The sequence below is a fragment of the Homo sapiens genome, chromosome 8, assembly GCF_000001405.40.
Source record: "Homo sapiens chromosome 8, GRCh38.p14 Primary Assembly".
Classification (NCBI taxonomy): domain Eukaryota; kingdom Metazoa; phylum Chordata; class Mammalia; order Primates; family Hominidae; genus Homo; species Homo sapiens.
Genome location: NC_000008.11, coordinates 22855424 through 22868008, shown reverse-complemented (window position 1 = coordinate 22868008; position 12585 = coordinate 22855424). Strand labels below are relative to the sequence as shown.

At 47.7% G+C, this 12585-nt stretch overlaps 1 protein-coding gene across 2 annotated transcripts in view, besides 3 other annotated features; it reads left to right on the top strand.

Moving 5' to 3' along the window:
- PEBP4 (phosphatidylethanolamine binding protein 4) overlaps positions 1 to 12585 on the top strand; it is a 227827-nt gene that overhangs the window by 73069 nt on the left and 142173 nt on the right. The gene's annotated exons all lie outside the window — the stretch shown is intronic.
- Positions 2728 to 3303: an enhancer, noted in NCBI's record as "NANOG-H3K27ac-H3K4me1 hESC enhancer chr8:22722219-22722794 (GRCh37/hg19 assembly coordinates)". NCBI's record gives its function as "activates a minimal SCP1, AML or CMV promoter by ChIP-STARR-seq in primed H9 embryonic stem cells {active_cell/tissue: H9 hESC(primed)}" and the evidence as "EXISTENCE:reporter gene assay evidence [ECO:0000049][PMID:30033119]".
- Positions 2934 to 3003: a silencer, noted in NCBI's record as "silent region_19014". NCBI's record gives its function as "represses an Ori minimal core promoter by ATAC-STARR-seq in GM12878 lymphoblastoid cells {active_cell/tissue: GM12878}" and the evidence as "EXISTENCE:reporter gene assay evidence [ECO:0000049][PMID:35858748]".
- Positions 3304 to 3880: an enhancer, noted in NCBI's record as "NANOG-H3K27ac hESC enhancer chr8:22721642-22722218 (GRCh37/hg19 assembly coordinates)". NCBI's record gives its function as "activates a minimal SCP1, AML or CMV promoter by ChIP-STARR-seq in naive and primed H9 embryonic stem cells {active_cell/tissue: H9 hESC(naive and primed)}" and the evidence as "EXISTENCE:reporter gene assay evidence [ECO:0000049][PMID:30033119]".

Sequence of the window (12585 nt, the reverse complement as noted above, 5' to 3'; positions counted from 1 at the left end):
TAGATCCTATTGCCTACGGTCTGTGCATGCACAGAGGTGACTGTTTAAAAGGAGATCTGTAACTATGGGTTCATCACCTATTGGACAAGTATCAGGCCAAATCTCTAATATTGGTAACCCAGGTCCCAGGGTTAACATGCCAGATGTGGTCCTCACCCTGAAATCCAGTCAACTGCCCAAGCAAGAGCCGAGTTTTCACATTCAACATCCCTGAGTCTCTCTTGTTGAAGTGGCAGATGGTGAATTTCATGCAATGACGTGAGCAAAGGCCCCTCTATTTCCAGCTTGGAACTCAGAATCTGCGGAGAAGCTGCTAGTCTGCATTCTGTGCACTGAATGCTGCAACTCTTGGGGTGGGGTTGGAGGAGGGGTCAGGCTTGTTTCCAAGAAGGCTGGAGCCAGAGGGGGAAGGGCAGTGAACTGGCCTTTGTCCAGGGTTCCCCAGCATGGAAAGGGGGAACCCAGGGCACTTTGAGAAGCTGGGCCAGGTGTGGAGGACAAGACCTGCCTTCCGCAACCTGAAAATCTAGTGCTTTAATAAGCTGGTGTGCTAAGGAGACCTCTGTGAGATGGGCAGAACGGCACAAGGGCTGGGGGGTTATTGACACGACATCTTCGCAGGCTCGGATCTGAGCAAGAGTAAACCTGAGTTATGAAGCGGGCCCGATTAATGAAAATGTGCATGGTAACAGCCCATCCTCGATGATCTCCACCCAGCACTTTGGCACCTTCTGACCCAAATATGTTGACAGAGTCTAATGTCCTACATCCAGCTTTTTCACCTCCAAAGATAGAAAAAGATTTATAACACAATAATAACTTTCAGGAATCTCAGCCCACTCTGGGATGGCTCTCTTAGGTCTTCAAGGGAAAGGGCAGATTTTAGGATAATGTTAGGGGTCTGGAATTCTCTACCCGAGGGGCTTCCCCAGAAATGTGATTTGAGGCCTCATCTCCTGCACCCTTTCCCCTCTTCGTTCCTATCACACAGATTTACTTGCAATTTCTTCAACCCGCCTCTATGCTCCTGCCGATCCTTTGCACAGCTGGGGTACAAAGTTCTCCTTCCTGGGGTCCCCTTCCCCATCTCCCAGCCGGACTAGCTCCTCCACTTCCACTAGGGCAAACTCACACATCACCACCTTTTGGAAGCTTTGCATTCAAGCTGTATTTTAATAACATTTATTGCTTTTTTCTTATTATAAAATTCATATTCCGTGAAGAAAAATATGGCGCTTATAAAAAAAAAAGAAGAAAACAAAAATCACTCATCATTTTGACATATATTCTGTTTTTTTCCTGTGTGTTTATATGTATTTTAATTGGAAGCATACTGTACATACTGTTTTGTGATTTGCTTCCCCCCACCCCACCCCCTTAAGGCTATATAGTTAAGCACAAAAGAGGCAGTTTAGTATAGTGGTTATGTGTGGGTGGCCTCTGGAGTCAGACTGTCTGGGTTCAAATCCTGGTGGCACCACTACAATATTGAGACCTAGAGAAGTTACCGAATCTGTTTCCGTGTTTAGAACAGTGTGGTTTACAGCATATTTTAATCTGTAATTTTGTTTTCTCTCTTTCTCACCGGACTGTGAGTTCCTTGAGGTCAGAGAGTGGCTGTTCATCTCTCTGTCCTCAGCGTCTTGCTGGGTACAAAACAGGCATCCCCAAAATGTTAAATGCTTGAAAAGACCCCGGAGAAGGATAGCGAAAAGGACCAGATGAAAGTTTCTGAACCACAGGACCCAAGATTGGCCTGCGTGGCCTTGTGTCGTACATATATTAGCTAACGCAGGCTGATAATTAAGTTTTCTTAGTCTCCCATTTCTTCATTTGTCAAATGGAGACGCCAGGGTGACTGTGAGACAAGCAAGACGGTGTCGTGGAATTGCTCTGAAAACTAAAATTTGGCAAGTGAAGTTATTTCCTGATTTCTTGGGGCTCGTCTCTGGCTCTGAAAGGGGACAGGCGTGGAGCCGATGACGCCCTGGGTTTGGGAGAGCAGAGTGGGCGCAGCGCTGGCGCGGCCGGCTGGGGGCTGCGCGCTCTCCGGGCAGCACCGCCCGGCGCCGGGCCACACCTCGAGGCGCGTGTCCTGAGTGGGAGCTGTGGGTTTGGGGCGCCCGAGCTGGGACAGCCGGGGTGGGCCCTGCGCTCAGTCTTGTCGGGAGTTCGAGCCCGGGGTGGGGGTCCCTCTAGGCGCCGCCGCTCGCGCCCCCGGGAGTGGCCGCCGATCTCCTTCCCGCGTGGCCCATCTTCCGCCCACCAGATCCGGTGGGGAGATTCCTCTCCCCTTTCCTCTGGGATCCGGGCGGCGGGAGGTGGCTGGAACGGAGTCTTCCTTTGCCTCCTCCTCCCGGGCAGCATCCGAGGCTTTTCTGAGCAGGATGGGGCGGGGGCGGGGGGCCGCGTGCGCCCGGGCGGAGGGAATTCCTTCCCCGGCGGCTGCGGCACCGGCACCGGCAGCAGCGCCTTGCCTTTTTTAGCTCTTCCCCGAGGCTCCTTCTCGCTGCGCGGCCGGGGGGGCGGTGGCGCGCTCCACCTCGCGGCGGGGAAAGTGCGGCCCCCGCCCAACGCCCTGGAGGCGCAGGTGGAGCGCGCAGCCAGGCCCGGGGTCCCGCCGCCGCCACCGCCACCGCCACCGTCACCGCCCGTGGGTGGGCAGCGGGAGACGCCGCAGGGGGACCCGGGGTAATTCCCATCCGCCCGCCGCTCTTCCCGGGCTGCCCTGAGCAAGGAGTTGTTTTGTCATTTTCGCAAAAACACCTTCCCTCCCCCTCCCGCCGCCCCCCAGGCTGTTTCAGAAATGGCATTGAGTCAGACCTGAGTCACAGGAGAACGTGGGCCTCTAGCCCCGTCCAGCACTGGTTCTTCCCCGGGCCGCCCCAGCCCTTCTGTCTACCCCCACCTCGCATCCAGGGCTCGGCGTCTGGCCCTGCAGGTCCCCGCCTGGTGACCTACCCCTTGGCCTCGCCGCCTGCCTCCCTCTCTCACGGTCACACCTGCCCCCTCGTGCTGCCCGCCCCGCACTCCTGCCCCCTAGTGGCCGTGAAGGGGCCTCATCGGGGTCCAGCACCGCCATCCCGCCCTGGGTCCCCTGCCCCGACCTTCCCACACAGATGGGGTGCGCTGCGGGTCAGTTCACCAGCCTGGCGCTCGGCGGTGCCCAGCGGCCCCCGTGGTGTTTTACTGTGGTGCGTACTACCCGCTAGGACTTGGTCAGCTACTTCCACCTCTGGCTACCTATTTTCTCACCCCTTCCGCCCTTTCCTGAGCTCTGCCGAGAAGGTGCTACACAACTCTATTTTTAGTCCTAACAAGCTGCCTGGCGGAGCAGCTTCCATCTGCAGCGCTCAGAGCCCTTTACAAATGCTAATGAATGGAAGCCGCTTCCTCCGAGTCACTTCGATTCCTACTGCTTCTCCTCACCCCTCCCCCAAGCTTTCTCCTGGAGGAAATTGAGGCATAGGGTTAGGATATGCGGATGGGACCCAGCTGGGACAGAACCCCTCGTCTCCTATGGTCTATTGGTGGTTCTATCTTCACCAGAGCCTTCTCACTTCCTCTTAAGTCAGTGCTGGGTCCTGGGTTAGGTTCAGAGGTCACACAGTCCCTGTCCTCAAAGAGCTGAAGAGGTGAGCCTAGAAGCAGATCATCACAATACAAATAGGTGGCCTCACAGAGCTGTTTCTGCCGAGAATGTTATAAGGGCACAGAACTCTCACTCCAGGCAAGGAGGGAGGGAAGGGGCTGGTCCTGTGTTTGTCCTGTTTATAATCAAGTAAGGTGTCCTAGGTGACACCTGAGCTGAGACTATAATTGAGATTGGAATTAATCATGCAAAAGGCAGGGGGCCTGAGAGCAGTTCACGAACAAAAGCGCGAGGTTCAGAAAAAAGCAGTATGAAGTTGGAGGTGAAGATGTTCTGTGTGCCCAGGAGCAAGGCGGGGCTGGAGATGATCTGGTCAGACTGGAGTTTTAAGTAGATCATTCTGGTGGCTGTGAGGAGGGTAGGCTTGATGGGTTAGGAAGCCCTTACAGTAGTCGGGGCAAGAGATGATAAAAGTCCGGACCAGACATCATGGAGAAGTGTCTTGGAGAGGACAGCGTGCATTTGAGAAACATTTGACAGTTCCTTAACTGGAGATCCAGAGTGACACATCCTTCTTTTCTCCTGTAGCATGCTGTTAGGCAGGCCTAACATCTCCCTAGTCCTTCAGCCAGGTATCATCGCTCAGATGGAACTCTTTTTTCTTATGTGCTGGACACTTGGTACTCCTGGAGGGCAGAGACCCACCCTCTGTCTCTGCTATGGCAACTAGCAACGACGCACACAGCGCCTGTCTGAGCTTATGAATGAATGTGCGTTGAACAGATCAGAGCAGTGAGAAGGGGTGGGGAATACTCTCCTGGTATCTGAGGCGTATAGAGATAGAAGGATGCAGGGAGGCAGGACCCTAACCACTGTTCATCCTCATCAAAAGCCCCATGCACACTTCAGCCAGAAGCTAACCCTCCCTCCACGCCCTTCACCATAAATCAGAAAACGCTGCCAACTATCTATGACTGAGGTTTCAGAAGCTGTAGGAAGCCTCCTTACCAGTTTCAGCCTCTGCTTTCCAACCAAAAAATTATAGTGTCATTTTTTGAACACCTGAATTGTGTTCCAATTGGAGCCAGCTGTGCAGAAGATGGGCTTGGATAATGGCCCTTAGGACACACAGAGAGGAAGGGAGCATGAGGGACTCCCCTGCATTCAGCAGCTTTGTCTACTGGGGCAGCAGGAATGTGGGGCCTTTCTGCATCTCATTCTCCATGCTGTTATTATTGTGCCTGGACATTTCCACAGCCGCCTTTCACTGCCAACAGCATCCAGGGTCAACTTTCCAGTATTAAATCCCAGTCTGTCGTGACAATAAAAGAAGAGGTTACTGTAATCCCAGCACTTTGGGAGGCCGAGGCAGGCAGATCACGAGGTCAGGAGCTCGAGACCATCCTGGCTAACATGGTGAAACCCATCTCTACTAAAAATACAAAAAAATCATCCAGGCGTGGGGGCGGGCGCTTGTAGTCCCAGCTACTCAGGAGGCTGAGGCAGGAGAATGACGTGAACCTGGGAGGCGGAGCTTGCAGTGAGCCAAGATCGCACCACTGCACTCCAGCCTGGGTGACAGAGCGACACTCCGTCTCAAAAAAAAAAAAAAAAAAAGGTTATGAGGGTGGGCCCTGGTCTGGGCTCACACCTCAGTACCTCCACTCCTACTAGCTGTGTGGCCATAGGGAGGTTGTGACTTACTTATTCAGCCTTTTGAAACCTCAGTTTTCTCACCTATAGATTGAATATATATGAGAATCCTTTGAAGCTTAAAAGAGTTTGTGTTTAAGCCTTTAGAATGGTGTGAGGTACCTAATAAATGCTCAATAAATGGTAATTACTCTGAATACTGCCAGAGCCCTCTATCCTATCCTTGTTATGACTGTACTCCCAGCTCCTCTCCCGGCTGATCTACACAAGTTGCTGTTTTCGGATCCTGTGAAGTCTTCCCTTGGTCCCTTCCCTTAAGTCTTAGATACTTAGGGAGGAAATCAGGGACCCTGACATTAATCGCTGAATCACTCTTCTGGGGCAGGAAAACATACTTAGGAGAACAGTTCCATTTTTTATGCAGACGAGATACTCCTGTAGGTAATTGGCTAGGCTATGGAATCATAGAATGTTATAGCTGGAAGACATCATGGGGGTACTAATTCCAGCTTGAATTTTTCTGAGATCCAGAGATTGAGTTACTTGTGTGGTTAGGGGAAGATTGAGGATGGATCCCAGGCCCCCGACTCCTGTGGCCTCCTGAACAATGCTGCCAGCTTTCTCTGGGATCTGTTGTCACCCCATACCTTCAGTTCAGCCGGAGTGCTTTTGATCTTTTCTTTCTCTTCTCCCCATCAATACTCCTGATCAAGCGGCCGCTTTTGTGTTGGCATCACTCGCTTGGTGCTAGCTAAACATGCAGGAGAAATTAATTCAGGGTTCAGACTTAGCGGGGACAGAGAGAATGACTTCGTGCTCCCGATCCAACCAGTATGCCGCTCAAACTCTCCTCACAAATTGCTCCTAAGATCTTATCGCTAAAGCGCAAGATTGAGACTAGGTTATTATAAGTGGCAACTGAACCCATTTTCTGTTTCTTTTCATTTTCTCCTGTCCACCACCCCTACCCCATACCTCTCTGTCAAGAGAAGTTCTTAGTTCTTGATATTTCTCTTTAATCAAGTTGACATCCTTTGGACCTAAGGAAATTCAGAATCCAGATGGGCTGCAAGACTCAGAACGAGAGCCAAAACAGAAAATAGATCCCTGACATCAGAGAGCCCTGGTCAGGCCCCCTTTTAATGTTTTAAAGAGATTCTCCAGTGAGTTCTGCTCAATGTAATCTCTGTCAAATCTTGCCACAGAAAGTCCAGGAGAATAGCATAGGATTGGGAGTTTGCCCGCCTGCATTTGCATTCTGGCCGTATGACTTAATTTCCTCTGTATTCAGCGGGTAAGGTGTGTAGCCTCTCTGGGCCTCAGTTGTATCATTTGCGAAATGGGGATAGTAGTCGATATTTATTTATCCTAGCTAAAAACCTATCTCTTAGGCTTGTTGTGAGGATTCAATTAGTCTATGGAAAGCACTTGGGAAGTCTGGTACATGGAAAGAGCACAAAACGTCTGAGCTATTATTATTAGCTGTAATAGGGCAAATTGAACCTCCACTTCTCCCTCTGCTGACTTCAGTAGGCTAAAGTGAAATTCTTTTATAAAATTCCCCACTCCACTGGTGAAGGCTTGGAATCAAAACCTGAGGCCCTGGACAAAAACCAAGTAACAGCTCTGGCAATAAGTGGGCACTGACTTCCAGCTTATTGTGTCAACTGGCCAGTCACTTAGAAGTCAAGAAGCTCTACGTTCCAAGGAATGCAAATTTAATTCTATTTTAACAAATATTTATTGAGCATTTTCTATGTTGAATATACTGTGCTGGGCACTGGGGATACTGAGATCAGATGTGGCCCGGGTCCTCAAGAGCTTACAAATGAGATGACTAATACAGAAACCATTAAGTAGACCTCGTGGCAGCACAGTGTGTCATGAACATGGACAGTCAGGGCTGTCACCGAGTCACCTGCAGTGTGCTCAGTAAGCTGGGCTTGGATGGACCGTGCAGGAGAGACTGTGGCTACTCATCCTTGTGTCCCTGTTGCCTAGCATGGAACAGATGCTCAAAAGATCTTTGTACATGACTAACTTGTAACGGAGGGTCTTGAGGAAAGCTCCACGGAGTACGTATCCTGGGTTTTAAGCTTTGAAGATAGAGTCAGATTTTGAGAGGGCAAAAAAGATGGGAATGCATAAACACAACGTGGTATATCCACACAGTAGAAGATTATTCAGCCTTAAAGAGGAAGGAAATTCTGGCCCATGCTACTACATGGATGGAACTTGAGGACATTATGCTAAGTGAAATAAGCCAGTCACAAAAAGACAGGTACTGTACCATTCCACTTAGGCAGGATACCTAGAGGAGTCAAATTCATAGAGAGAAAGCAGAATGGTTGTTGCCAGGAGCTGGGGGGAGAGGGAAGAGGGAGTCGTTTAATGAGTAAAGAGTTTCAGTTTTGCAAAATGAAAAGCATTCTGGAGATCAGTTGCATATCAACGTGAATGTCCTTAAGACTACCGAATTGGACACTGAAAAATGGTTAGGATGGCAAATTGCATGATATGTGTATTCTGGCACCATATATATATATACATATATGTGTATATATATATATACATATATATGTGTATATATATATACATATATATGTGTATATATAATTTTTTTTCTTTTTCTTTTTTTTTTTTTTTTGAGACGGAGTCTCACTCTGTCACCCAGGCTAGAGTGCAGTGACATGATCATAGCTCATTTGCAGCCTTGACTGCTGGGCTCAAGAGGTCCTCTCACCTCAGCCTCCAGAGTAGCTGAGACTTTAGGCGTGCACCATCATACCCAGCTAATTTTTAAATTTTTTGTAGGGATGGGGTCTCCCTATGTTGCCCAGGGACAGACATCTCCTGGGCTCAAGTGATCCTCCTGCCTCAGCCTCCCAAAGACAATATTTTTTAAAAAGATTGGGAAGGGATCTACAAAAACAAAGATGTAAGGCAAGATAGAGAGGCATAAGAGTGTAGGTTGTATGCAAGGAAAGGATGCTGGACTGATAGGGCCCAAAGTTAAAGTACGAGGAGGGACATAATAGGAGATGAGGCAAGATGGAGACCAGATGGGCCTCAAATGCCGTGTCAGGGAGTGTGGAGTTTAAAATGTGGGCTTTGATTTCATACATTGCTGAAGTGGGTCTTCTAATATTCTCAATCTTGGCTACTAGACAGCCGTCACAGGTACTCTGTGGGCCAGTATGCCAAGCTGCTATCTCAGTTCTATCCCAACCCAACCTCTTCTTCTAAATAGGTCCCGAGGCTCATCTCACCTGGGCCAGAGACAGCCCACTGCACCTGGACACTTCTGGCTGCTTCCTCTGCTGGCTTTGTTTTGGACTGATCCCCCTGGAGTATTCAAGCTCCAGCTCACTAAGGGAAACTAATGAGATTCCAGCCTGATGAGTCTGACTTTTTTCCAATTGAATAGTTGTAAGCAACCTCAGTGCTGCAAGCTCAACACTCGGCGAATTACTGGCTCTGCCTCAGAAGCCACTTGGATTTTCCATCTTTGACTTTCTCCTGGGGTGCAGGCTCCACGGGGGGAGTCTGATGGCCATGTGATAGTGCTCCCTGGTAGATAGGTGCTGCCGTAGTTTGCTTTATAGGCTGGGCTTCTCTCAGCCTAAGACAAAGGTTTACTTATTGAAAGTAGAAATGAGCTGGTCTATGACATCTTGGAATTCCGCATGTTGGGTTTTTTGAAGTGTTTGGGTATTATGGGGACACCCGTGCCATGCTGACTTCTAAATGGAGTCCAAACCAGATGACCACAAGGTAGTCCCTTCTGTGTAGTTCTGTTTTGTTATTGTTGTTTTTTGAGACAGGGTCTCATTCTGTCACCCAGGCTGGAGTGCAGTGGTGCAATCTTGGCTCACTGCAACCTCTGCCTCCCAGGTTCAAGCGATTCTCCTGCCTCAGCCTCCCAAATAGCTGGGACTACAGGCACCCGCTACCATGCCCAGCTAATTTTTATATTTTTAGTAAAGACGGGATTTCACCATGTTGGCTAGGCTGGTTTCGAACTCCTGGCCTCAAGTGATCCACCTGCCTCGGCCTCCCAAAGTGCTGGGATTACAGGCATGAACCACCAGGCCCAGCCTCTGTTATTTATCTAACATGAGAGTTTTAGGCTTCAGTTGTCATCTCAAAGTCTCAGTTTTTTCATCTCTAAGATGAGTCTAATTATCCCTTTCTTGCTTTCTAAGAATATTGAGAAAATGAATGGGATAGAGAGAATGCCATACTTTGAAATCTGAGTAACAGGATGAGATACTTAATACTCTGCATTTTCCCAGGATGCTGGGGCCAAGCATTTGACAGTGAGGATATATTCTGTATGCTCCTTATCTCTGCATTTACCAAAATGAAAAGAGAAGAAGGAAATTCTCATTCTGAGATTGATGATAAGGGTTAACCTGTGGTTATTCATTAAGGCCATGTTAACTCCTTTCTTAAGCCACGTTGCTAAAAACAGCTACACTCCTCAGATGCCGTCACTATTTTGCTGCCCAACATCTGAGAAAGGAACTTAAGAAGAAATGCAGGAAGCTGAACGATTCCTTTCACCATTTCAACACCCACACTATCCCTCTTTGACTAGCTGGGTCTGTGGGTGCTGCTGAAGCTATCCCTTCTCACTGGGACATGGAGAGGACCCCGCCTTAGTTATAATAGCAGCAAGAACAAAATGTCTCAGCCCTTGTCACCTAGAAGAATTCTACCCCATGGTCCCCACGCTCTGAAAAGTGGTGGAGGAGATGGTTGGGTTAACAACTAAGAGTTTGCCCCATGGACGGTCCGTGAAGCATCGCCCAACACACCATGCACCAGGGGCATGTAAGTCAGGTGACGGACAATTCCTACTATTGCAGGTAGTTCTCATGGACAGCTCTCCTCTTGCTCCCCATCCCTTGCCCCCTGTTCTTCTCCATGGCTCACTGCTCCCTGACTTGGTATGCTGCCTTAACCATGTCATATACAAAGTCAGATAGATAGAGAGAAAAGCTTATGAGGAATGCTTCAGTATTCGATGCTGGCTTCTGGCTTTTCCATTTAGTAACCCACTTCCACCTCCCTCTTTGGTCCTGGACTCTGCATCCCACCAGAATCAACTCTCTTTGCTCCCCCAACTTCAGGTTCTCCTGTGACTTCAGATGAAAGACTCGTTACATCAGTCCTGGGTTCAAGGACCCTACCAACCAGGCCAGCTTCTGGCCTGCTGTCATCTTAGCTTCCAATTCCAGTTCTGCTGTTTGCTTGCTGTGAATCTCACTCACTGCTTAAAAGCCAGAATATACTGTGCACTGAGTCTTCCACTCCTGGCGGTCCTTCAAGAACTTGGCTCTGGCCACAAGTGTTTTCTGGAATGGGTGATGGGGAGCAAGAGGCTGAGAGAAGGGTATAGCATTGGTAGGTGATGGAGCCCCGTATGGTATAGATGCTTTCTCTGTAAACTGCCTCAGGATATTAAACCAAAATGTGTGAGTGAGTAAGTGTGTGTGTGTGTGTGTGTGTGTGTGTGTAGGTTTCATTTTTTAAAGTAGGAAATGTCCACTATAAAAATTTGGACTACCCAGATTTTTTTTTAAAGAAAGGGAAAAAAATTAAATGTCCCTACTCCCACACTAAAAGATAAGCCAGTATTAATATCTTGGTATAAATTCCTCTACATTTTTATACTTACCAATTGTATCTTACTTCACAGACTGGCTTATAATTTTGTGCTTTTTTTTAACATCATAGTGCATCAGTTCATGTCATCAAACACTCACCTATCATTTTTAATGGCTGAATTGTGTTCTGTGGAGTTCAGACTCTATCTTCCTTCATTTAATCAGTTCCCCTTTGTTGGACATTGAGTTGTTTCTGGGGAAGTTTTTCTTTCACTATTATAAATAATTTGGTGTCAGGAAAACTGAGGCCTAAATCTTTGACTTTATTTTTAATTTCTGGGGGTAAGATCCTAGAAGAGGAACTAATAGATCAAAGGGTATGCACCTTTTCAAGGTTTTTTATTTTTCTATATATTTATTTATTTATTTATTTATTTAGAGACAGTTTCCCTCTATTGCCCAGGCTAGAGTGCAATGGGGCAATCTCGGTTCACAGAAACCTCTTCTTCTGGGCTTAAGCAATTCTCATGCCTCATCCTCCCCAGCAGCTGAGATTATAGGCATGCACCACTACGCCTGGCTACTTTTTGTGTTTTTAGTAGAGACGGGGTTTCGCCATGTTGGCCTGGCCCGTCTCGAGCTCCTGGCCTCAAGTAATCCGCCTGCCTCGGCCTCCCAAAGTGCTGGGATTACAGGTGTGAGCCACCTCTCTCAGCCCTTTTCAAGGTTTTTGATATTCATTGCCAAATTTGCCCCAAGAAAGTTAACCCAATTTCTATTATCATACTGTCAACATTTCATCAACACTGTATTTTAGAATTTGTTAAAATAATTACCAATTTGACAAGTAAAAAATAGTACCCTAATTGATTATAAATTAGGCTGGTTATTTTTTCATGTGCTTTTTGGCAATGTGTATTTATTTTGTGATTTTTCTCTCCATTGTTGCCCATTTTTTCTATTTAGACTTTTTTCTTACTGATTGGTCAGACTTTTTAGTACATTAGGTATATTATCCCCTTCATCATATATGTTACAAATATCTTCTTGGTCTTTTGTTTGCTTTTTATTATATTAGGTTTCCTTTTTTTTTTTTTTTTTTTTGAGACAGGGTCTCACCCTCGCCCAGGCTGGAGTGCAGTGATGCAAATATGGTTCACTGCAGCCTCAGCCTCAGCCTCCTAGGCTCAACCATCCTCCTCCTGCCTCAGCCTCCTAAGTAACTGGCAATACAGGCGTGCACCACCATACCTGGCTATTTTTAAAATTTTTTTGTAAAAATGGGGTCTCACTTTGTTGTCTAGGCTGGTTTCAAATTGCTAGGCCCATGCAATTCTTCCGCTTTGGCCTCCTAAAGTGCTGGGATTACAGGCGTGAGCTATCATGCCTGGCTGCTTTTTACTATATTTGTGGTATTTTTATGTAGAGAAATTGTACCTTTTTGCATAGTCTAATAAGTCTTTTTCCTTTATAATTTTGATTTTGATATCATCATTGGGAAGGTCTTCCCCACGCATAAGGACATTCTTTCTCATTTGATTTAACGCTGAGTTCCAGGGACATAATACTTCCAGCAATTTTCTCTGCAGAAGACTTAACCTCAGGGGTGCACAGCCTCCAAAAGGCCTGCAGGGCCAGAGGAAGGGATGTGAAAATACAGATCATGACACAGACCCCACATCTAATAGACTCTCTGAGGGCTGGGGAAGGACTTTAAATGTGTTCTAG